At 45.9% G+C, this 24,103-nt stretch overlaps 1 pseudogene across 1 annotated transcript; it reads right to left on the reverse strand.

Annotated features, from left to right (window-relative positions):
- Nucleotides 1-1,713: 1,713 nt before the first annotated feature.
- On the reverse strand, nt 1,714-8,414 carry CDRT15P3 (CDRT15 pseudogene 3; annotated as a pseudogene). Its single transcript, NR_161366.1, has 3 exons — nt 8,135-8,414; nt 7,645-7,903; nt 1,714-2,499 (listed from the first exon to the last, which is right to left on the reverse strand). The product of NR_161366.1 is annotated as a CDRT15 pseudogene 3 (transcript).
- Nucleotides 8,415-24,103: the final 15,689 nt, after the last annotated feature.

The raw sequence follows: 24,103 nt of genomic DNA on the forward strand, positions 1-24,103 counted from the left end.
TAGTTTTCTTTTCTCTCCAACTCCTTTTTTCTGTGCTTCTACCTGATTTTTAGAAAAACTTCTACGCATTTCCAATCTTAGTACAGCAGACATCAAATATGTGGTCAAACTACATACATAGGAAGAGTTGAATTATATAATTATATTCAAGCATTTTAAAATAATTCCCCTTCAGTTTGTTTTGCAGTTATTTTACATAATCAAATGTCTTCTTGATATACGTCCCAACCCAGTGGTTGTCAAGCTCTGCTTTGTTTTCTAACTGCATCAGATTTATCCACAATTTTTTTTTTTTTTTGGAGATGGAGTCTCACTGTTGCCCAGGCTGGAGTGCAGTGGCATGATCTCAGCTCACTGTCATCTCTGCCTCCCTGATTCAAGTGATTCTCCTGCCCCAGCCTGCCAAGTAGCTGGGACTACAGGCGTGCACCATCATGCCTGGCTAATTTTTGTATTTTTAGTAGAGATGAGGTTTCACCATGTTGGCCAGGCTGGTTTTGAATTCCTGACCTCAAGTGATCCACCTGCCTAGGCCTCCCTAAATAAGAATTATCCAAAATTCTTATGATAAATATGGATAAATCAGCACAACTCAAGATTTAAGAAATAAAAACTTCCAAGAGAAGAAACCCAGGAATATGCATTGAAAATGTCTCCCTCACGTGATTCTGATGTGATATGTGGTCTGAGTTTAAAATGTAAGGAAAATTACCTTCCCTGCCCTCCAGTTGGCCCTTATGTCCAGATGTCCCTCTTTCCCTTTCTCATTGTGCTCTCTCCTTCTGTGCCTTTGTTCTATTCTCCCTCCACTTCTCATCCAGATGCCAAGCCCTCTTGCATCATTTGTCCTAAAACTCCAAATGGTCAGTTGCCTCTAAACTTCCCTCTGTCCCATGAACAAGTTATGCAGGCAAATTTAGAATTTAAGCTTGGACCAAGCTGAATCAAGAGCTGCAATTAGAGATTTCCCTAAGCCCAGAGGGGACCAGCAAATACTTATAGGTGATTTTGGATTTCCTCTGAGTGCATAAGGCTCTGGGTAACCTGATGCTATAGACCAAATGTTATTGTCCCCTCAAATTCAAGTGTTGAAATCTAATTCCCTATGTGATGATATTTGGAGGTAGGGCCTTAGAGAATGATTAGATCATGAAGGCAGGGACCACATGAGTGGGATTAGTAGCCCCTATTGAAGGCACCATAGAGAGCTCCCTCATCCCTTCTGTCATGTGAGGACATGGTAGAAACATGGCTGTCTATGAACCACAAAGCAAGCCCACACCAGACCTGCAATCTGCTAACCACTTGACCTTGAATTTTGCTATCTCCAGAACTGAGAGAAACAAATTTGTTTATAAGCTTCCTCATCTATGGCATTCTGTTTTGACCCAAGATTAGCTGAAAACACCAAAATATCAACTTGTACACCAAATTTTGGAAATGGATGCTAAAACTTTGATGGCAAAAAGTGACTGATCTGCCTGAGAAATGAAACCTACATGATCCCTCTTTCCACAAGGCTGAAGGGAGAGTCAACACAAGCAAAAATAGGTCAAAGTCTTCTAAAAGCCATACCTGAAGGGTTTTCAATATCACTTGATCATATGGTAATTTAATCACAGAAAGAACCACAACAAAACACACAACTATCAGAGGTTTTCAACATCGCCTCAAAAACACCATCTACAATATTAGGGAGTGAAAGAAGCCATGGAAGTTTCAAAAAGTCAAACTTTATTCAGTGTTATGGTAGAAATTTGAAATTCTTAGGTAAGCTATGAATAAATCCTTGGGCAGGTGCAGGCATACAGATTCTGGGGTGCAGCTGCTGAGTTTAAAAGCTTCCTTTGGAGATGCCCCCTGGCCCCCTCACCCCCTGTCCGCCTGTCAAGAGGAGGCCATCCTGGGCAGCACGTTAGGGGCAAATGGCCCAGATGCCCAGCTGAGGGCAAACCTCCATGCCTGGAGGAGGAGGTCGCCTCTGGGAGCAGGAGGACCTGCTGGAACCCCTGCTCACAGGCTCCTTTTCTTGCTCTCCAGCACCTCCTGCAGGCAGGCAAACAGCCCCAGCAGCAGTAGCAGCAGGCCCTTCAGCAGCAGGGCTGCTGCTCTGCTGAATGAGAGAAGTCCCTCTCCAGTGAGGCAGAGGAGCCCAGATTGCAAACCCTGGTCTCTGCCTCCATAGCTTCCACTGTGCCCAGGACTGGGAGCAGTGTGGGAGCTGCTGGCTGGAGCTGTGCTGGCCACCCCTCTCTGCCACCTCTAGCTCCAGCCACACTTTCAGCTCCAGGGCTGAGGCCGGTGGCTCTACAGGAGGTGCCATGAAGTCAGGCAGCTCCTCACTGGGCTGGTCCTGGGCAGTCCCAGGGCAGCGGCAGGAGGGCTCTGGAGCTTCCTCTAGCTCCAGCGCTGTCCCTGGAGGGGAATCTGCCCCTGGTGCTGGCACTGGCTCAACAGCTGGCACTGGAAATCGCTGTATTTCTGCACCTGAAGCAGGAGCTGAAAAAGGAGAGAGGTCACCAATACCACTCACTTTCCACTGGAATTTCCAAACATGAAAACAACCTCATTGAATTTAAAGGAATTTCAGCCTGAAAACATTGTCCCTGGAAAGACTTCCAGACTGCAGGTGACCTCAGCATGTGCCTGTGTCTCAATGAGCTCCAGAGGCTCCAGCTGGACAAGGACAATGTGCAGATGTGGCCCTGGTGGGATCACTGGTGAGGCCTGGCCTGGTAGCTCCATCTGGGGCCTGATGTCTACCTGGTGACTCCTGTCCTGTGGTACCTGGGCGGGGGGCTTCTGCCAAATGGCCAGAGGCATCTGGGGTGAGGGATGAGCCTACAAGGGCGTCATCAGCAAAGAAAGGCTCTCACTCCTGCCATTCCTGAAGCAGGAGCCTTGAGATGTGGGGATGCAGCACAAGAACATCTTGCTCTCTTGAGCGTCTCCCACCAAGTGAGCTGGCTATGGGGCTAATGCTAGGATGTGGGTGCCCGGTTATCGGGATTCTTTTTTTTTTTGAGACATAGTCTCATTCTGTTGGCCAGGCTGGAGTGCAGTGGCATGATCTCGGCTCACTGCAACATCCACCTACTGGGTTCAATCAATTCTCCTGCCTCTGTCTCCTGAGTAGCTGGGATTACAGGCATGAGACACGCACCACCACACCTGGCTAGGTTTTTTGTGTTTGTTTGTTTTTTGTATTTTTAGTAGACATGTGGTTTTACCATGTTGGTCAAGCTGGTCTCGATCTCCTGATTTCATGATCTTCCTGCCTTGGCCTCCCAAAGTGCTGGGATTACAGGTGTGAGCCACCGTGCCTGGCCTGGTTACCAGAATTCTAAGTTCTGTTAGGGTCTGTTGCCAAGGAAGTGAGGTCGCTTCTTTAAGTTTCCATCCCCTCGGCCTCCTCCTTCCAGAAAACCTTCTCAGGACCCCAGTGGGCTGCTGACTGCTCACCCTCCCCACAGGTCAACTCCTTACCTGTACACAGTTATGTCCACCCAGGGCCTGCTTGGACACCTGCACCTGATGTTCACCAGAGACCTAGGAATCCACTTGCAGCCTGTGATCCTACAGGGGCCTAATGTTACCCTGCAGATTGGGTAGCCACCTGGGGACCAGGTATCAACCTGGGGACTGTGGTTGACCTGCGGGCTAATGTCCACCTGGGGACTGGTTACTCACCTGAGGCCTGATGTGCACCTGGGGCCCGATGTCCCCCTCAGGGTGAATTCCACCTCAGGCCTGTATGTCCACCTGGGGCCTGATGTCTGCCTTAGGTCTATGTCCCACTGGGACCTTATGTTCACCAGGGACTGGTATCCAGCTGTGGCCTGATGACCTACTGCATCCTGTTGCTCACCTATGGCCCGGTGTCTACCTGGGGCTTGGTGATCACCTGGGAGCTGGATATCAACCTGGGGCCTGGGTGTCCACTTAAGGCCTGATGTGTGCCTGGGGCCTGATTGTCCACCTGGGGACTGGGTGTCCACCTTGGGTCTGATGTCTACCTGAAGTTATTTATCTACCTAAGGCTTGGTGTCTACCTGTGGCCTGATGTCCACATGAGTCTGGGGTTCGGTTGGGGCCTGCTGTACATCTGGGACCTTGGTGTCTATCTGAGGCCGGATGTCTACCTGGTGACTGCCATCCTCTTGAGGCCTGATATCCACCTGGGAATGGTTTATCCATGGAAACCTTTATGTCCACCTGGAGCTGGATGTCGCCCAGGAGCTAGATGTCCACCTGTGGCCCTGTGTCCACCTAGGGCCTGATGTCCACAAGTTGGCCTGGTATTCATCTGGGGCCTTCATGCTAATGTGGCTTAATGTACTCCTGGGTTCTAGTGTCCTCTTGGGACCTGATGTCTACCAGGATCCTGGTATCCACCTGGGGCCTGGTATCCACCTAGGGCTTGATATTCACCTGGGGCCTAAGAATCCACTTGATAACTGGTGCCCATCGGGGTCCTGATGTTCACCTTGGGACCGGGTAACCACCTGAGGCTTGATGTCTACTTAGGGCATAAGTGTTTATCTGGGGTCTAGTGTTCACATGGGGCCTGATGTCAACCTTGAGCCTAGGTATTCATCAGGGGACTAGTGTCCAGCTGGGGCCAGATGTTCACTTGGGGTCTGGTGTCAACTTGAAGCATGGTTGTCAACCTAGGACCTGATGTCCAGTCCAGTGTCCACCTTGGGCCTGTTTTCTAACTGGGGCCTGTGTGTCCACATAGACCCTGGTGTCAATTTGGGGCCGGGGTATTAACAAGGGGCCTGGATATTCATTGGTACATTATGTCTACTGGGGTCTTTGTGTCAATCTGAGCTCTGATGTCCACCTAGAGATTGGGTATCCACCTAAGGCCTGGTGTTTACATGGGGCCTGTAACACGAGGTTCCAGATGAACTCAGATGTCCACCTGAGGCCTCATGTCCACCTGAGTTCTGAGTGTTCACATAGGGCCTGCCATCAACTTGGGACCTAAGTATTTACCTAGGGCCTGGGTGTCCACCTGGGGCCTGACTTCCAACTAGCTCTTGTGTCAACATGGGGCCTGATGTCCACTTTGGGCCTAGGTAACTTCCTGATGACTAATGCACACATGGCTCCTAAGGACCATCTGAGGCCTGGTATTAATTTAGAGACTGGTATCCACCTGGGGTCCAGGTATCCACTTAGGACCTGATGTTTACCTGGAGTGTAGGAATTCACGTGGGGCCTGGTGTCCACCTTGAGTGTGTGTATCCAACTGAGTGCTGGTGTCCACCTGGAGTCCAGTGTATACCCGGGGCCTGATGTACATATGGGGCCTGGGCATCCATCTAGGACCTGATGTTCAGATAAGGGCTGGCGTTCTCCTGGCCTGGTGTCCATGTGGAGCCTGGGCGTACACTTGAAGCCTGATATCCCAGGTGGATACCTGGGCCCCAGTGGTCATCAGATCCTAGGAAACTCTCAGGCCCCAGGTGCACATAAAGCTACAGTGGCCACCTAGGCCACAGGTTGATACACAGGGTCCAGGTGGACACTGGGTGCAAGATGAACACCAGGCCCCAGGTGTCTGCCTAGTCCTCAAGTGGACACCAGGCACTAGATTGACACACAGGTACCAGGTGGATATCAGGCCGCAGGTGAACACCAGGCCCCAGGTGGGGTGGGTTACTTATAGCATAGGTGGCCATCAGTTCCCAGGTCTATAGCCACTCCCCACCTGAAAATCAGGATCCAGGTGGATACCCATGTCCTAGGTGAACACCAGTTTCCAAATGGACATCAGGCTCCAAGTGAACACACAGGCCCCAGTTCAATACCAGCCTCAGGTAGACATCAGGACCCAGGTGGACCCCAGGCCCAATGTGCATGCCTAGTCTCTTGGAATACATCATTTTCAAGGTGGACACCCAGATTCCTCGTAGACATCTGATGCCAGGTGGATATCTGGCTGCAGGTGGACATCAGGCCCCAGGTGGAGGAGACCCAGTACACAGCTGTAAATCAGGCTCCAGTATTTCATCAGGCCCCAGTTAAACACTTGACTAAAGGTGCGCATCAAGACCCAGGTTGACCCCCAGGCTTCAGGTGCACACTAGGCCCAAAGTGTACACCCGTGCCCAGGTGGGCATCAGGCCCAAGGTGTACACCAGACCCCAAGTGGACATCAGGTTCCAGGTTGACACCAGTCTCTAGGTAGATCCTTAAGTCCCAATTGGTCATCAGGCCCAAGGTGGATGGATACCTTGACCCCAGGGGGTCACCAGGTCCCAGGCAGGCCTCAGGTGGACACCAAGCCCTAGGTTAACACAAAGTCTGAGATGGTTTCAGCCCCCATGTGGACTTTAGTCATAAGGAGCTTACCTAGGCCCTATGTGGACATCAGGTCCCAGGTTGACACAATGAACCATGTAGAAGTCAGGCTGTAAGTAGACACCCAGGCCCTAGGTAAATACTTTGGTCCCAAGCCAACATCAGGCCCTATGTGGACATCCAGACTCCAGGAAGATGTCAGGCCCCAGGTGAACACTGAACTCAGGGTGGTCATCAGGCCCTAGGTTGACACATAGGCCTCAGGTAGACAACAGGCATAGGTGAACTTCAGGCTCTAGATGAATGTTGGGCTCCAGGAAGAAGTCTGTGCCCCAATTAAACACTGGGTCTTAGGTAGACATCAGGCCTCAAATGGATGCCCAGGCCCCAGGTGGATATAAGGCCTCAGACAAACACCAGGCCCCAGGTAGACATTAGACACGAAATGGACACTCAGGCCACAAGTGAACATCTGTCCCCAGGGGGACATCCATCCCAAGGTGGACATCAGGCCAGAGATGTACACCCAGGCCCCAGGAGAACCCCAGGCCCCAGGAGGACACTCAAGTGCCAGAAGGACACCCAGTCCCTAGGTAACTACAAGGCCCCAGGTGGACATGATGTTCCAGATGGATATGAGGCCCCAAGTGGATACTAGGCCCAGGTGGACCCCAGGTCTCAGGGGCACACCAGGCCCCAGGGGAACACCAGGCCCTAGGTAAGCATGCAGTCCCAGGTGGACACCAGGTGCCAGGAGGACACCAGGACCCAGTTGGTCATCAAGCCACTGCTGAACACCAATTCCCCATGAACACCAGTCCTCAGGTGGGCACCTAGTCCTCTTGTGTGCATCAGGTGCCAGGCTGACATAGGCACCAGCTGAACTCTGGGCCTCAGGTGAACATCAGATCCCAGGTTGTCACCCAGGTCCCAGGTGAACACCAGGTTTTAGGTGGACACGAGGTCCTAGGTGGATGTCTATGCTCCTGGTGAACCTCAGGCCCTAGTGGACACTCAGGCCCTTTATAGACATCTGGCTCCATATGCACTCCCAGGGCCCAGGTAGACATGAGGCCCCAGAGGAACACCAGTCCTTAATCAACTAAGACTGAATTCCCCTAGGGCTGGAGACTGAGTATTCACCTTGGGCCTAGGAATCTACCTGGGGCCAGATGTCGATCTGGGGCCTGATGTCTACTCAGGTTCAGCTGTCCACCTAGGGTGTGGTGGACCTCTATTCTGTCCCCACCCTGCAACATTGGGCCAGCTCAGTCTCTGCCACCAGCTTCCCACATCGTCGTCCCTCAGAGCCCTAGGGTGGGTTCCCCCTACCTAGTGTCTCTGGCCCCTGCTCTCCACTCTCAGGCCTGACAAACATGCAACCCCTCACACATGTGTCTTCCTGAAGGCGTGGGTGTTGGGACCGCTGGCACAGAAGTCACAGCTTAGCTACATGTGTGTCCCAGACTTGCTTAATCAATGGAGCAGTGAACCCGCTGCTTCTGGGGTACAGTCTCCTCCATTTCATGGGTCAGGTAGACAGGCTGCGTCCTCTTCACCCCCAGGTGTGCGCACACACAGTCATCTCCACCTGCAATCCAGTGCCAGCTGAAGCTGCACGCTCTGCAACAGAGGCCTGTGCACGACCTCGCTGCGCACACAGCAGGGGCTGCCCTCGGTCCCTCCCTCTCCCCTAAAGTCCCTGCCTCCCAGCCCCACGACCCACAGGAGGAGCCAGTCCCCTAGCCCACGGAGCCACGGTGGGTGCGGCCTGGGGACTTGGCATGGCAAGCTGGCCCATAGGGTCGTCCCTAGCACCTACCAGAGCGCGTACGAGGGAGCCGAGGCTGCAGCGCCGGGTGGGCAGCGAGCTCCCTGGAGACCCATGCAGCGGGTCAGGTGCCAGCTGCCGCCAGGTCTGTGCGCGGGGCCGGGCCACCAGCGTGCGGCTTCCCGCTCTGGAGAGTTTATGGCCCCTGTCCTCGGACGGCTCCGCAGCCGCCAGGGAGGGACTGGAGGGACCGCGGCTGAGACAGGCTGCTGCACCAGGCGGCCCTGGACCGCCGCTTCCGCCCCTAAGCCGCCCTCCCAGCCCAGGTGACAGGTCGCCCTACCCAGGGAGCATCGCCCTCCTCCGCCGGGGGGCCCGAGCCCGGCGTGGGGGTTGCAGGCCGGCGCCACAGCCTGAGGACACCGCGACCTCTGCCCCCGGGAGCGCGCCGAATGCGGGGTGGGGCTGCTGTCGCAGGCCGTGGAGCCGCAGCCCCGCTGGAGGGCAGGGTCCGGCTGGGCGTCGGGGTCCTGGCAGAGACAGCGGTGAGAGCAGGAGCAGGTGCACTGGCAGCTGCAGACGCGCCGCCAGGCTCCCGGACACCGCGGGCGCGCCCCCTGGTGGCAGCCGGCTCCGGAGCCGCGGGAGGGCGGTGCCCAGTCCCCAGCCGGCGGCAGCGCGAAGCGCCTTCCCCGCTTGGGGGAGCGGGCGTGGACCTGCAGCTGGAGTGCCTTACTAGTGAAAAAGCTGGGGTTGGAGCTGCCACGGGGGGAGGTGTGGGGGCCTAGGGGGCTCTGCCTGGACCTTCTGGGTGTCCTCCTGCGACCTCAGGTTCCTCACCTGTCTCAGAGGACTGATGGGCTGCTGTGGCAGGGTTGTTTGGAGGATTAAGCCAGATAGTCCCAGTAAAGCCCCATTAGCGCCCCCTGGCCTCTGGATTATTATTTTTTATTATTTTTCTGGCTTTCTTAGGAAACTTTCCGGAATGTGTCCAGGTGTTGAAGCGGGAAGGCTGGACACCCTCCCGTGGCGTTGCCGTTCCTTCCAGACGCCCCCTCTTCTTAGGCTGTTTTCAAGGGCACGCCCGGCAACATGTGCTCTACCCAAGAGCGCTTCACAGATCTTCCTGTGGGTCTAAAACCAGAACGCTTTCTTCCCCGACCCCTGCTCCCATATCACCCCAACCTCAAGTCTTTTGGCACAGCCGGCTACAGACTCGAGTGTCAGTTTAATGCTTGTTCCCTAAGGTCTCCCCAGGGCTGTTAGGACGGCGTTAGGGTTAGGATTCGGGTTCGGGTGCGCCTCTCCGCGCCTGCGCCGGCGCTGGGGGGCCTTTGCGAGGGCGGAGCTGCGTTCTCCTCAGCACAGACTTTGGAGATACAGTGAAGGCGGAGCAATGTTCTTCTCAGCACAGACCTGGGCGGGTCGGGGGCACCGCGAGGGCGGAGCTGCGTTCTGCTCAGCACAGACTCCGGGGACACCGCGAAGGCAGAGCAGGGTTCTCCTCAGCACAGACCTTGGGGGGCACTGCCTCGCTTTGGGACAACTCGGGGCCGCATCGACGGTGAATAAAATCCTTCCTGTTTGCAGCCCTGAATAATCAGGGTCAGAGACCAGTTAGAAGGGTTCAGTGTGGAAAACGGGAAACCAAAAGCCCCTCTGAATCCTGCCCACCGAAGTTCTCCCCAGCCAAGGCGAGGCGGCCGCAGTGCGAGATACACACCGCAGCCTAGGAAGACAAATGCAGCATTCCTAATGCAGACATGACACCCCCATTGCTCATGTAACAAGCACCTGTAATGCTAATGCACTGCCTCAATACAAAAATATTAATATAAGATCCGCAATCCCCTCGCTGCCGTGCAGTCCTAAGACAGCGATCATAATAATCAGCATTGACATAGTCAATACAAACGTAGTAACGAACCTAGGGTTAAGGTTGGTGTTAGGGTTAGGGGTTAAGTTTAGGGTTAGGGGTTGGAGATAGGGGTTGGGGTCAGAGTTAGGGGTTAGGAGTCAACGTTTAGAGTTTGGGGTTAAGAGAGGTTAGGGGTTAGGGATTAGGGGTTAGGGTTGGGTTAGGGTGAGGGTTGGGGTTAGGGTTAGCAGTTAGGGTTAAGGGTTAGGGGTTAGGGTCAGGGGTTAGGGGTCAGGGTCAGTGGTTAGGGGTCGGGGTCAGGGTCAGGGGTCCCACTCTGTGGGTTGCCTATTTACTCTGCTGACTGTTCCCTTTGCAATGCAAAAGCTCGCTCTTTAGTTTAAATGAGTCCCAGCTATTTATCTTTGTTTTTATTGCATTTGCATTTGGGTTCTTGGTCATGAAATCCTTGCCTATGCCAATGTCTAGAAGGGTTTATGCAGTGTTATCTTCTAGAATTTTTATAGTTCAGGAATTAGGTTTAAGTTCTTAATCCATCTTGAGTAGATTTTTGTATAAGGTGAGAGATGAGAATCCAGTTTTATTCCCCTACATGTGGCTCGCCAATTATCCCAACATCGTGTGTTGAAAAGGGTGCCCTTTCCCCACTTTATGTTTTTGTTTACTTTGTCGAAGATCAGTTGGCTGTAAGTATTTGGGTTAATTTCTGGGTTCTCTCTTCTGTTCCATTGGTCTATGTGCCTAATTTTAAACCTGCGGACAGGAGGGTCCTATGGAAGTCTAGCCACCCCTCCCAGGTTGGTGCTCACAGCCCCTCCCTGGCCCACTCCCTCTACACCTGAACCTGCTGGTCTCTGGGAGAGGAGCATCCATCCATCTTGTGCGCATAGCTTTCTGCTCCATTTTCATGAGTTTGGTCTCCTTGGCAGAAATGACCATTAGGTGATCCTGAGCCTGTGCTGGCTGTTCTCTAAGTGCCAAAGTCAGTGAGAGGGACTTGAAAACTCAAGAATTATTAACATTATTTTCTGCATTTTATGCTTTCGGGGTTGTTTTTTCCTTAAAATGTGTAAAAACAAATATTGAGATTTCTATCTTTTATATAATTTGGATTCTGTCATCACATGGACTTTTCATTTTCCTGAAATTTATTTTTATGTATGTATATCAAACATTGAATTTCTCTTTTCTTCTTTACTGGAATTGTTAACTGTCTTAGAGGCCAAATCTTTTTTTAAAAAATCTCTCTAATCTCTGTAAACATTTCTAATTACATATATATTTTCTATACCTAATACACTACTTTGGAATTCCTTGTGGCCTAATTGCATCGGGGTGCTCTGGTTTTGTTGCTGTTATTTCTGAATTACATTGACTTTGGTGCTCTTTATTTTGCATATTTAAAACTATTAGATAGTGTGATTATATTTGACAGGTCTTAATTGATGCGCTGTTCAGCGCTGTGAGTTCGGTTGAGATTTGGGTTGGAGAATTTTCTTCCACAGGGGATTGTCTTGGATTTTTCTGTTTCTCCCTCAATATCCACCTGGAAAACATTTCAATTAATTTATATTCACTTAAATATTTCTGTGCAAAAACTGTGTACAAAAGCCCCAAAGTATAATTTGGGCAGTTGAGCAGATATTCTGTTGTCCAGCATTTATGGTGGTTTGTAGTGGAAAAGACTTTTTGAATATGTGAATTTTCAGGATATTACCAGAAGCCCAGAGAGCCACACTTTACCTTTGGAGGAATTAATTCTCAGAATATTGCACACAATCAATTGCCTTTGGAAGGAGCACATATCCCCAGCAAAAGCTCTGGTTTTTTGAAGTCTGTATTGTGTGTTATTTCCAGGAGAATACGCAATGATGAAAATGTTATTAAATGATTCAAATATGAAATGCTGTTATGCCAAACAATGAATCTTTGTGTTATACATTATGCCGAACTATAAATCTTTATGTTATACATTCTAATGTCATTGGAGAATACTCCTGTCTTCTTGGCATTATTGATAATTAGATTCTAATTGCTAATAAGTCAGAAAAATTAGGAACATCAAATTTCAGTCTTCTCAAAAGCACTCCTATTATTAAATTTGGATTTTTACCTTTATCACATCAAAGGAAATATTGTTAGAAAGGTGTTTAATGTTTTCCAGATGGATAGATTACTGTTATTAGTTCTTATTTCATTGTTAATTTTTAAAACCATAAAGTTGGAAGTATCAATATGCCTTTCAATATACCCTAGTGGAATTTATTAAATTTTCATGGATGTCCTTTAGGAGGTTCAGGAAGTTATTTCTATTGCTAGATTTCTGGAAGACTCATCAGGAATGAGTGTCAGACATTGTCAGATGTCCATTGAAATCCTCATGGTCTTTTCCTTTATTCTATTAATATGGTGTATTACACTGATTGATTTTTAAATTTGTATTTGTAGGGTAATTCCACTTGGTTAATTGTCTAACTTTTTTCTAATTTTCTTTAATTTTTATTAGTGGTGAGGCCTCACTCTGTCCCCCAGGTTGGGGTGGAGTGGCACAGTCACAGCTAACTATAACTTCAAACTCCTGGGCTCAAGTGTTCCTGCCACCTCAGCCTCCTAAGTAGCTGGGACTACAGGTGTGCACCGCCATGCCAGGCTTGTCTAACATTTTTATGTGTTGCTTCCTCCAGTTTGCTAGAGTTTTTGGAGATTTCTGCCTTCATTCATGAGGGATTTATTTTATTTTTATTTATTTATTTTCTTGTGATGCTTTTGTCTGATTTGTTATCTGGGTAATTCTGGCCTCAAAAATGAATTGATGTTTTCCTGCTTCTCTGCTTTGCAAGTGTTTGTGAAGGATTGGTTATTCGTTAAGTGTTTAATAGAATTCACTAGTGAAGCTATGTGAGCCTGGGCTAGACTGATGAAGAGTTCTTATTAGTCTAATCTATTTACTTGCTGTATGAGTACACATATATTCTCTTTCTTCTTGGTTTACTTTTACAATTTGTGTATAGCAGGGAATTTGTTTCTAATTTGTAGTATTTCATGCTTCTAGGTTTTCATGGCAGCTGAGATGTAAGAATAAAAGTAATGTTGGGAGAAGGAAGCTGTAGACAATCCGTGAATATCCCAACATCTGTTGTAGGAAGGTTAAGATTATTATTTTTTTTTTGCTGTACTTAACTGAATACTCATATTTATAGTGTGAGACAAATGTAATGTTGCATATAAATAGAACTAGGAAAATGTGCTATTTGTCTTAATATTTAATCAAGATGGAAGTCTGGGCCCACCTCCTCTGTTTTATTAATATGTAGACAGGACACCAACACACATTTGAATGAGGACAAACAAAATGTTAGCAAATGAAGAATGGTATTAATTGGTTAAAATGCGATGAAATAGAGTGGTGAATATTTACATAGAATCCATGATGTGTTAGGTGCTATTTCAAGCTATTTGCACATATAGTTTTCATACCAATGACATTAAAATGTATAGCACAAAGATTCATATACATAAAAATTACAACATTGAAAATAATATTAGGTGACACTAAAACTGTCATAGCAATACACATTTATATAAAACATAAAGTAACATCAAGTATTAAATAAATTTTAGAAACTTTGATTACTAATCAGATGAACAAGTGATTAGCCTTTTTATCCAGTAAACAAAGCATACATATTATTTTCAAATTCCAGAGACAAATATTTTAAATATTGAAGTTTAAGACCTAAAAATGTGTCACTGACTTCATGGAAGTAGATATTCACTAGGTGATATTTTCTAGGCTCTCTGAAATTACATCAGAAAAATGTGAATATAACCCATAAATAATATCTGGCCACATACAAAGTAATTGAAGATCAATTTAAATAGCTATTGGATTAAGAAATAGAGACTGAGGTAAATTTACAGGGTCAGGGAGGATCTAAGGAGGAAGCATTGGCACTGGAGCCCAAGGACCTGGGATTACAGAACAGATTCTACCAGTGCTAACTTACTGCTCCAGAGAAAACATCAATTCTGCTCATGTGCAGGTACTATTCATCAAGAAAGGGATTACAACTTCAGAAATGTTTTCAAAATGTATCCATACTTTGACGTATTCATGAAGTAATCACATTCTACACACAACTACTCCATATGGAATATTGGGGAGGGGGTGTCCCAAATAAAGAGACTGAGGATTTCTCATGAGAACTCAGTGTCTGCTAGAAAATATCTAAGTAAAATATTTTACTTATGTGGAAAGTGTGGATGTTTGTGCATCAAAAGTTTCAAGAATCCCTAAAATGTACAATGGAGATGAGGAGAAAATATCAGAATTTCCCAGCACCAGAAATGAGGCAAGAAAAAATTCAGAGGAGTTATAAATGTGAAAAGCCAATGGCTGGTCACACAGCAACATTGATAACCTTGCACCAGGACAACTAGAATAAATACATAAACATACAGATTGAAAATATTTCCAATACTAGATCTCTCTCATGTGAGAACTAAATTATAAAGATTGAAGCATATAAGAAAAAAAGCTACCAGAATAAATTCGATTACACATAAATTTCTGATATTGAAATTGTCACAAATGTTTAAGTTGGTAGTGGAAGACAAAGGACATATAATCTTGGGAGTCCTAGGGCCCTGCCCACTGCCAGTCCCTCCACACTACTACAGCTGATGCCTTCTGGAAAGCACCACCTCCTGGCAGGAGGCCAACCAGCACAAATATAGAGCATTACACCACTAAAGCTAAGGACCCTCACAGAGTCTATTGCACCCTTCACCACCTCCGCTGGAACAGGCGATGACATCCATGGCTGAGAGACCCATAGATGGTTCACATCACCGGGCTCTACGCAGACAACCCCTAATACCAGCCCAAAGCCAGGTAGACCTTCTGGGTGTCTAGACCCAGAAGAGAGACAACAATCAATGCACTTCGGCTCACAGGAAGCCATGCCCATAGGAAAAGGGGGAGAGTACTACACCAAGGGAACACCCTGTGGGACAAAAGAGTCTGAACAAGTCTTCAGCCCTAGACCTTTCCTCTGACAGAGTCTACCAAAATGAGAAGGAACCAGAAAACCAACCCTGGTAATCTGACAAAACAAGACTCTTCAACACCCCCCCAAAAATCACACCAGTTCATCACCAATGGATCCAAACAAAGAAGAAATCACTGATTTATCTGAAAAAGAATTCAAGTTAGTTATTAAGCTAATCAGCGAGGGGCCAGAGAAAGGTGAAGCCCAATGCAAGAAAATCCAAAAAGTGATACAGTAAGTGAAGGGAGAAACATTCAAGGAAATAGATAGCTTAAATAAAAATAAAAATAAAAAATAATAAAAAATTAGGAAACTTTGGACGCACTTTTAGAAATGTGAAATGCTCTGGAAAGTCTCAGCAATAGAATTGAACAAGTAGAAGAAAGAAATTCAGAATTCGAAGACAAGGTCTTTGATTTAACCCAATCCAATAAAGACAAAGAAAAAAGAATAAGAAAATATGAGCAAAGCCTCCAAGGAGTCTGGCATTCTGTTAAACGATGAAACCTAAGACTAATTAGTGTACCTGAGGAAGAAGTGAATTCTAAAAGCCAGGAAAACATATTTGGGGGAATAATCAAGGAAAACTTCCGTGGCCTTGTGAGAGACCTAGACATCCAAATACAAGAAGCACAAATAACACCTGGGAAATTCATCACAAAAAGATCTTAGCCTAGGCACATTGTCATTAGGTTATCCAAAGTTACGACAAAGGAAATAATCTTAAGAGCTGTGAGACAGAAGCACTAGGTAACCTATAAAGGAAAACCTATCAAACTAACAGCAGATTTTGCAGCAGAAACCTTACAAGCTAGATGGGATTGGGGCCCTTTCTTCAGCCTCCTCAAACAAAACAATTATCAGCCAAGAATTTTGTATCCAGCAAAACTAAACATCATATATGAAGGAAAGATACAGTCATTTTCAGACAAACAAATGCTGACAGAATTTGCCATTACCAAACCAGCACTGTAAGAACTGCTAAAAGGAGCTCTAAATCATGAAACAAATCCTGGAAACACATCAAAACAGAACTTCATTAAAGCATAAATCACACAAGACCTATAAAACAAAAATACAAGTTAAAAAGCAAAAGCAAAAAACAAAAACAAAGTACAGAGGCAGCAAAGAACATGATGAAAGCAATGGCATCTCACTTTTTAATACTAATGTTGGTTGTAAATGGCTTAAATGCTCCACTTACAAGATACAGAACCACAGAATGGATAAGAACTCACCAACTAACTATCTGCTGCCTTCAGGAGACTCACCTAACACATAACGACTTACATAAACTTAAGGAAAGTGGTAGAAAAAGGCATTTCATGCAAATGGACACCAAAAGCGAGCAGCGGTAGCTATTCTCATATGAGACAAAACAAACTTTAAAGCAACAGCAGCTAAAAGAGACAAAGACAGACAGTATATAATGGTAAAGGTCTCATCCAACAGAAAAATATGACAATCCTAAACATACATGAACCTAACACTGGAGCTCCCAAATTTATAAAACAATTACTAGTAGACATAAGAAATGAGATAGACAGCAACACAATAATAATGGGGGACTTCAATACTCCACTGACAGCACTAGACAGCTCATCAAAACAAAGTCAACAAAGAAACACTGGATTTAAACTATACTTTGGAACAAATGGACTTAACAGATATATACAGAACATTTCATCCAACAACCACAGAATACACATTCTATTCAACAGCACATGGAATTTTCTCCAAGATAGACCATATGATAGACCATAAAACGAGTCTCAGTAAATTTAAGAAAGTTGGAATTGTATCACGCACTCTCTCAGATCACAGTGGAATAAAACTGAAAATCAACTCCAAAAGGAATCTTCAAAACCATGCAAATACAAGGAAATTAAATAACCTGCTCCTGAATGAGCATTGGATGAAAAATGAAATCAAGATGGAAATGTAAAAAATTTCTTCGAACTGGATGACACAACCTATCAAGACCTCTGGGATACAGCAAAGGCAGTGCTAAGAGGAAAGTTTGTAGCCCTAAACACCTACTTGAAAAAGTCTGAAAGAGCACAAAGAGACAATCTAAGTTCACATCTCAGGGAACCAGAGAAGCAGGAACAAGCCAAACCCAATCCCAGCAAACAAAGGAAATAACCAAGGTCAGAGCAGAACTAAATGAAATTGACACAACAACAGCAAAAACAACAAATACAAAACATAAATAAAACAAAAAGTTGGTTATTTGAAAAGATAAATAAAATTGATAGACCATTAGCAAGATTAACCAAGAAAAGAAGAGAGAAAATCCAAATAACCTCACTAAGAAATGAAACAGGGGATATTACAACTGACACCACTGAAATATTAAAGATTATTCAAGGGTACTATGAACACCTTTTGGCACATAAACTAGAAAACCTAGAAGAGTTGGATAAATTCCTGGAAAAATACAACCCTCCTAGCTTAAATCAGGAAGAATTAGATACCCCAAGCAGACCAATAAAGCAAGCAGCAAGATTGAAATGGTAATTTTAAAATTACCAACAAAAAAAGCCAAGGACCAGACAGATTCACAGCAGAATTCTAGCAGACATTCAAAGAATGTCTTCTCTCATTCAAAGAAGAAATGATACCAATCCTTTCACACTATTCCACAAGACAGAGAAAGAAGAAACCCTCCCTGATTCATTCTATGAAGGCAGCATCACCCTAATACCAAAACCATGAAAGGACATAACCAAAAAAGAAAACTACAGACCAATATCTTTGGTGAACGCAGATGCCAAAATCCTTAACAAAATACTATCTAACTGAATCCAACAATATATCAAAAAGATAATCCACCAAGATCAAGTGTGTTTCATACCAGTGATACAGGAATGGTTTAACATATGCAAGACAATAAATGTGATACACCAAATAAACAGAATTAAAAAAAACTCACATGATCATATCAACAGATGCAGAAAAAGCATTCGACAAAATCTAGCATTGGTTTATGATTAAAGCTCTCAGCAAAATAGGCATACAAGGGACATACCTTAATGTAATAAAAGCCATCTAGGACAAACCCACAGCCAACATAATACTGAATGGGGAAAAGGTGAAAGCATTCCCTTTGAGAACTGGAGCAAGACAAGGAGCCTACTCTCACCACTCCTCTTCAACATAGTACTGGAAGCCCTAGCCAGAGCAATCAGACAAAAGAAGGAAATAGAGGAAATCCAAATCGGTAAAGAGGAAGTCAAACTGTCACTGGTTGCTGACGATATGATGTTTCTCCTTGAGAACCCTACGGACTCCTCTAGAAAGCTCCTAGAACTGATGAAAGAATTCAGCAAAGTTTCCAGATACAAGATTAATGGACACAAATCAGTAGCTCTTCTATATATCAACAGCCACCAAGCAGAGAATCACATCAAGAACTCAACCCCTTTTACAATAGCTGCAAAAAACAAAACAAAACAAAACAAAACTTAGCAATATACCTAGCAAAGGAATCAAAAGACCTCTACAATGAAAATTACAAAACACTGCTGAAAGAAATCATAGATGGAGCCAAGCATGGTGGCACATGCCTATAATCCCACCTACTCGGGAAGCTGAGGCAGGAGAATCACTTGAACCCGGGAGGCAGAAGTTGTAGTGAGCCGAGATCACACCATTGCACTTCCACCTCAGTGACAAGAGTGAAACTCTCTATGAAAAAAAAAAAAAAAAAAAAAAAAGAAAAGAAATCATAGATGACACCAACAAATGGAAACGCAACCCCATGCTCATAGGTGGGTAGAACTAGAACCAATATTGTGAAAATTACCATTCTGTTAAAGGCAATCTACAAATTCAATGCAATCCCCATCTGAATACCACCGTCATTCTTCACAGAATTACAAAAACAATTCTAAAATTAATATGGAACCAAAAGAGAGCCATGTAGCCAAACCAAGGCTAAGCAAAAAGAACAAACCTGGAGGCATCACACTACTTGATTTCAAACTGTACAATAAGGCCATAGTTACCAAAACAGCATGGTACTGGTTTAAAAATAGGCACATAGACCAATGGAACAGAAGAGAGAACCCAGAAATTAACCCAAATACTTACAGCCAACTGATCTTCGACAAAGTAAACAAAAACATAAAGTGGGGAAAGGACACCCTTTTCTACACATGATGTTGGGATAATTGGCGAGCCACATGTAGGGGAATAAAACTGGATTCTCATCTCTCACCTTATACAAAAATCTACTCAAGATGGATTAAGAACTTAAACCTAATTCCTGAACTATAAAAATTCTACAAGATAACACTGCATAAACCCTTCTAGACATTGGCATAGGCAAGGATTTCATGACCAAGAACCCAAATGCAAATGCAATAAAAACAAAGATAAATAGCTGGGACTTAATTAAACTAAAGAGCTTTTGCATGGCAAAGGGAACAGTCAGCAGAGGAAATAGACAACCCACAAAGTGGGACCCCTGGCCCTGACCCGTGACCCTGACCTTGACCCATAACCCCTAACCCCTGACCCTGAACCCTAACCCCTGACCCTAACCCCTAACCCTTAACCCTTAACCCTAACTGCTAACCCTAACCTCAACCCTCACCCTCACCCTAACCCAATCCTAACCCCTAATCCCTAACCCCTAACCTCTCAACCCCTAACCTAAACGTTGACTCCTAACCCCTAACTCTGACCCCAACCCCTGTCTCCAACCCCTAACCCTAAACTTAACCCCTAACCCCTAACCCTAACACCAACCTTAACCCTAGGTTCGTTACTACGTTTGTATTGACTATGTCAATGTTGATTGTTATGATCGCTGTCTTAGGACTGCACGGCAGGGAGGGGATTGCGGATCTTATATTAATATTTTTGTATTGAGGCAATGCATTAGCATTACAGGTGCTTGTTACGTGAGCAATGGGGGTGTCATATTTTGGGTGTCATGTCTGCATTAGGAATGCTGCATTTGTCTTGTGAGGCTGCGGTGTGGATCTCGCACTGCGGCCGCATCGCCTTGGCTAGGGAGAACCTCGCTAGGAAGGATTCAGAGGGGCTTTTGGTTTCCCGTTTTCCACACTGAACCCTTCTAACTGGTCTCTGACCCTGATTATTCAGGGCTGCAAACAGGAAGGATTTTATTCATCGTCGATGCGGCCCCAAGTTGTCCCAAAGCGAGGCAGTGTCCCCAAGGTCTGTGCTGAGGAGAACGCGGCTCTGCCTTCACGGAGTCCCCTGGGGCTGTGCTGAGCAGAAAGCAGCTTCGCCCTCGCAGTGCCCCCGGCCTCCCCGGGTCTGTGCAGAGGAGAACTCAGCTCCGCCCTGGCGATGCTCTCCGGGTCTGTGCTGAGGAGTACGCAGGGAGCCGGCGCAGGCGCAGAGAGGCGCACATCACTGGCGCAGAGAATGCCCAGCCATCATTCTTGCACTCTGCATGCCCATAGGCTTAATACCACATGGAAGTTGCTGAGGCTTATAGCTTGCACCCTCTGAAGCAGTAGCCTGAGCTGTATCGGGGGTCTTCTGAGTTGAGACTGCCGCTGAAGTGGCCAGGATGTGGGGAGCAGTGTCCTGAGGCTGTCCAGAGCAGTAAAGTCCTGGCCCTCAAAAGCATTCTTTCCTCTTAGGCCTCAAGGTCTGTGATGTGATGGACTGCCGTGGAGATCTCTGGAATGCGTGCAAGTTCTTTTCCCCATTGTCTTGGGTATCAGCATCTGGGTTTTGTTTTAATTATGCAACTCTCTCTAGCAAGTGTTTTCTCCACAGCCTGTTCGAATTTTTCTCCTGGAAAAAGCTTTTTCTTTCTTTGTCACATGGCCAGTCTGCAAATTTTCCAAATTTTTCTGGTCTGCTTCCTGTTTAAACATAAATTCCAACTTTAAGTCATTTCTTTGCTCCTGGATCTGAGTATAGAAGCAGCGAGGCCACACCTTGAATGCTTCCCTGCTTAAAAATGTCTTCCATCAGACACCCTAAATCATCATTCTTTTTTTTTTATTATACTTTAAGTTTTAGGGTACATGTGCACATTGTGCAGTTTAGTTACATATGTATACATGTGCCATGCTGGTGCGCTGCACCCACTAACTCATCATCTAGCATTAGGTATATCTCCCAATGCTATCCCTCCCCCCTCCCCCCACCCCACCATAGTCCCCAGAGTGTGATATTCCCCTTCCTGTGTCCATGTGATCTCATTGTTCAGTTCCCACCTATGAGTGAGAATATGTGGTGTTTGGTTTTTTGATCTTGCGATAGTTTACTGAGAATGATGATTTCCAATTTCATCCATGTCCCTACAAAGGACATGAACTCATCATTTTTTATGGCTGCATAGTATTCCATGGTGTATATGTGCCACATTTTCTTAATCCAGTCTATCATTGTTGGACATTTGGGTTGGTTCCAAGTCTTTGCTATTGTGAATAATGCCGCAATAAACATACGTGTGCATGTGTCTTTATAGCAGCATGATTTATAGTCCTTTGGGTATATACCCAGTAACGGGATGGCTGGGCCAAATGGTAATTCTAGTTCTAGATCCCTGAGGAATCGCCACACTGATTTCCACAATGGTTGAACTAGTTTACAGTCCCACCAACAGTGTAAAAGTGTTCCTATTTCTCCACATCCTCTCCAGCACCTGTTGTTTCCTGACTTTTTAATGATTGCCATTCTAACTGGTGTGAGATGGTATCTCATTGTGGTTTTGATTTGCATTTCTCTGATGGCCAGTGATGAGCATTTTTTCATGTGTTTTTTGGCTGCATAAATGTCTTCTTTTGAGAAGTGTCTGTTCATGTCCTTCACCCACTTTTTGATGGGGTTGTTTGTTTTTTTCTTGTAAATTTGTTTGAGTTCACTGTAGATTTTGGATATTAGCCCTTTGTCAGATGAGTAGGTTGCAAAAATTGTCTCCCATTTTGTAGGTTGCCTGTTCACTCTGATGGTAGTTTCTTTTGCTGTGCAGAAGCTCTTTAGTTTAATTAGATCCCATTTGTCAATTTTGACCCCCGAGCAGCCTAACTGGGAGGCACCCCCCAGCAGGGGCACACTGACACCTCACACGGCAGGGTATTCCAACAGACCTGCAGCTGAGGGTCCTGTCTGTTAGAAGGAAAACTAACAAACAGAAAGGACATCCACACCGAAAACCCATCTGTACATCACCATTATCAAAGACCAAAAGTAGATAAAACCACAAAGATGGGGAAAAAACAGAACAGAAAAACTGGAAACTCTAAAACGCAGAGCATCTCTCCTCCTCCAAAGGAACGCAGTTCCTCACCAGCAACAGAACAAAGCTGGATGGAGAATGACTTTGACGAGGTGAGAGAAGAAGGCTTCAGACGATCAAATTACTCTGAGCTACGGGACGACATTCAATCCAAAGGCAAAGAAGTTGAAAACTTTGAAAAAAATTTAGAAGAATGTATAACTAGAATAACCAATACAGAGAAGTGCTTAAAGGAGCTGATGGAGCTGAAAACCAAGGCTCGAGAACTACGTGAAGAATGCAGAAGCCTCAGGAGCCGATGCGATCAACTGGAAGAAAGGGTATCAGCAATGGAAGATGAAATGAATGAAATGAAGCGAGAAGGGAAGTTTAGAGAAAAAAGAATAAAAAGAAACGAGCAAAGCCTCCAAGAAATATGGGACTGTGTGAAAAGACCAAATCTACGTCTGATTGGTGTACCTGAAAGTGATGGGGAGAATGGAACCAAGTTGGAAAACACTCTGCAGGATATTATCCAGGAGAACTTCCCCAATCTAGCAAGGCAGGCCAACGTTCAGATTCAGGAAATACAGAGAACGCCACAAAGATACTCCTCGAGAAGAGCAACTCCAAGACACATAATTGTCAGATTCACCAAAGTTGAAATGAAGGAAAAAATGTTAAGGGCAGCCAGAGAGAAAGGTCGGGTTACCCTCAAAGGGAAGCCCATCAGACTAACAGCGGATCTCTCGGCAGAAACCCTACAAGCCAGAAGAGAGTGGGGGCCAATATTCAACATTCTTAAAGAAAAGAATTTTCAACCCAGAATTTCATATCCAGCCAAACTAAGCTTCATAAGTGAAGGAGAAATAAAATACTTTACAGACAAGCAAATGCTGACCGATTTTGTCACCACCAGGCCTGCCCTAAATCATCATTCTTAAGATTGAACTCCCACAAATTCCTAGGGCATGAACAGAATGAAGCCATTTAACCAGTCTCTAAGAAATTTCAAACTTTTCCTCATCTTTCTGTCTTCTGAGCCCTCCAAACTCTTCCAACCTCTGCCTGTTACTCACTTCCAAAGTCACTTCCACATTTTCATGTATCTTTATAGCAAAACACCACTCTTCAGTACCAATTTTCTGTGTTAGGCCATTCTTTTATTGCTATAAAGAAATACCTGAGGCTGGGTAATTTATAAAGAAAAAATGTTTAATTGGTTCACAATTCTACAGGCTGTACAAATGTGGTGCTGGTATCTGCTCGGCTTTTGGGGAGGCGTCAGGGAGCTTTTACTCATAACAGAAGGTGAGGCAGAAGCTTGCACATCACAAGGCAAAAGTGGGAGCAAAAGAGAGTGGGAGGGAGGTGCCACACCTTAAAACAACCAGATCTCACAACTACTCACTCACTATTGCAAGGACAGGACTGATTCATGAGAGATCTGGCCCCATGACCAAAGCACCTCCCACCAGACCCCACCTCTAACACTGAGGATTATATTTCAACATGAGATTTGGACAAGGTCACTAAGTGCCTTCTTGCCCCTGGGGAAATGCTGATCAAAATCAGTGCTGAGCAGTGGTGCTGACAAATCCCCCTCGCAGACATTCTCGCTGCACTGGGTACACGTCTGCCCAGGAGTGGGGAACACAGGGGCTGGACACAGGTCCTCCTTCTTCTGACCCTGTGTATTCCTTTACGTAAAATGGGAGAAAGATACTTAGACCAGGACAGCTTCTCAGGTCCCTTCCACTCCAAACTCCCTGACCTATGACCCGGTTTCCTGCATGAGGCCTGGTGTGTAAAAGGCTCCCCTCTGCTGTAACCATGTGGCTCTTTGCTTGCATGGAGGAGAAACAAAGGAGTGATTC

The sequence above is a fragment of the Homo sapiens genome, chromosome 2 (genome assembly GCF_000001405.40).
Source record: "Homo sapiens chromosome 2, GRCh38.p14 Primary Assembly".
In the NCBI taxonomy this organism is placed as follows: Eukaryota; Metazoa; Chordata; class Mammalia; order Primates; family Hominidae; genus Homo; species Homo sapiens.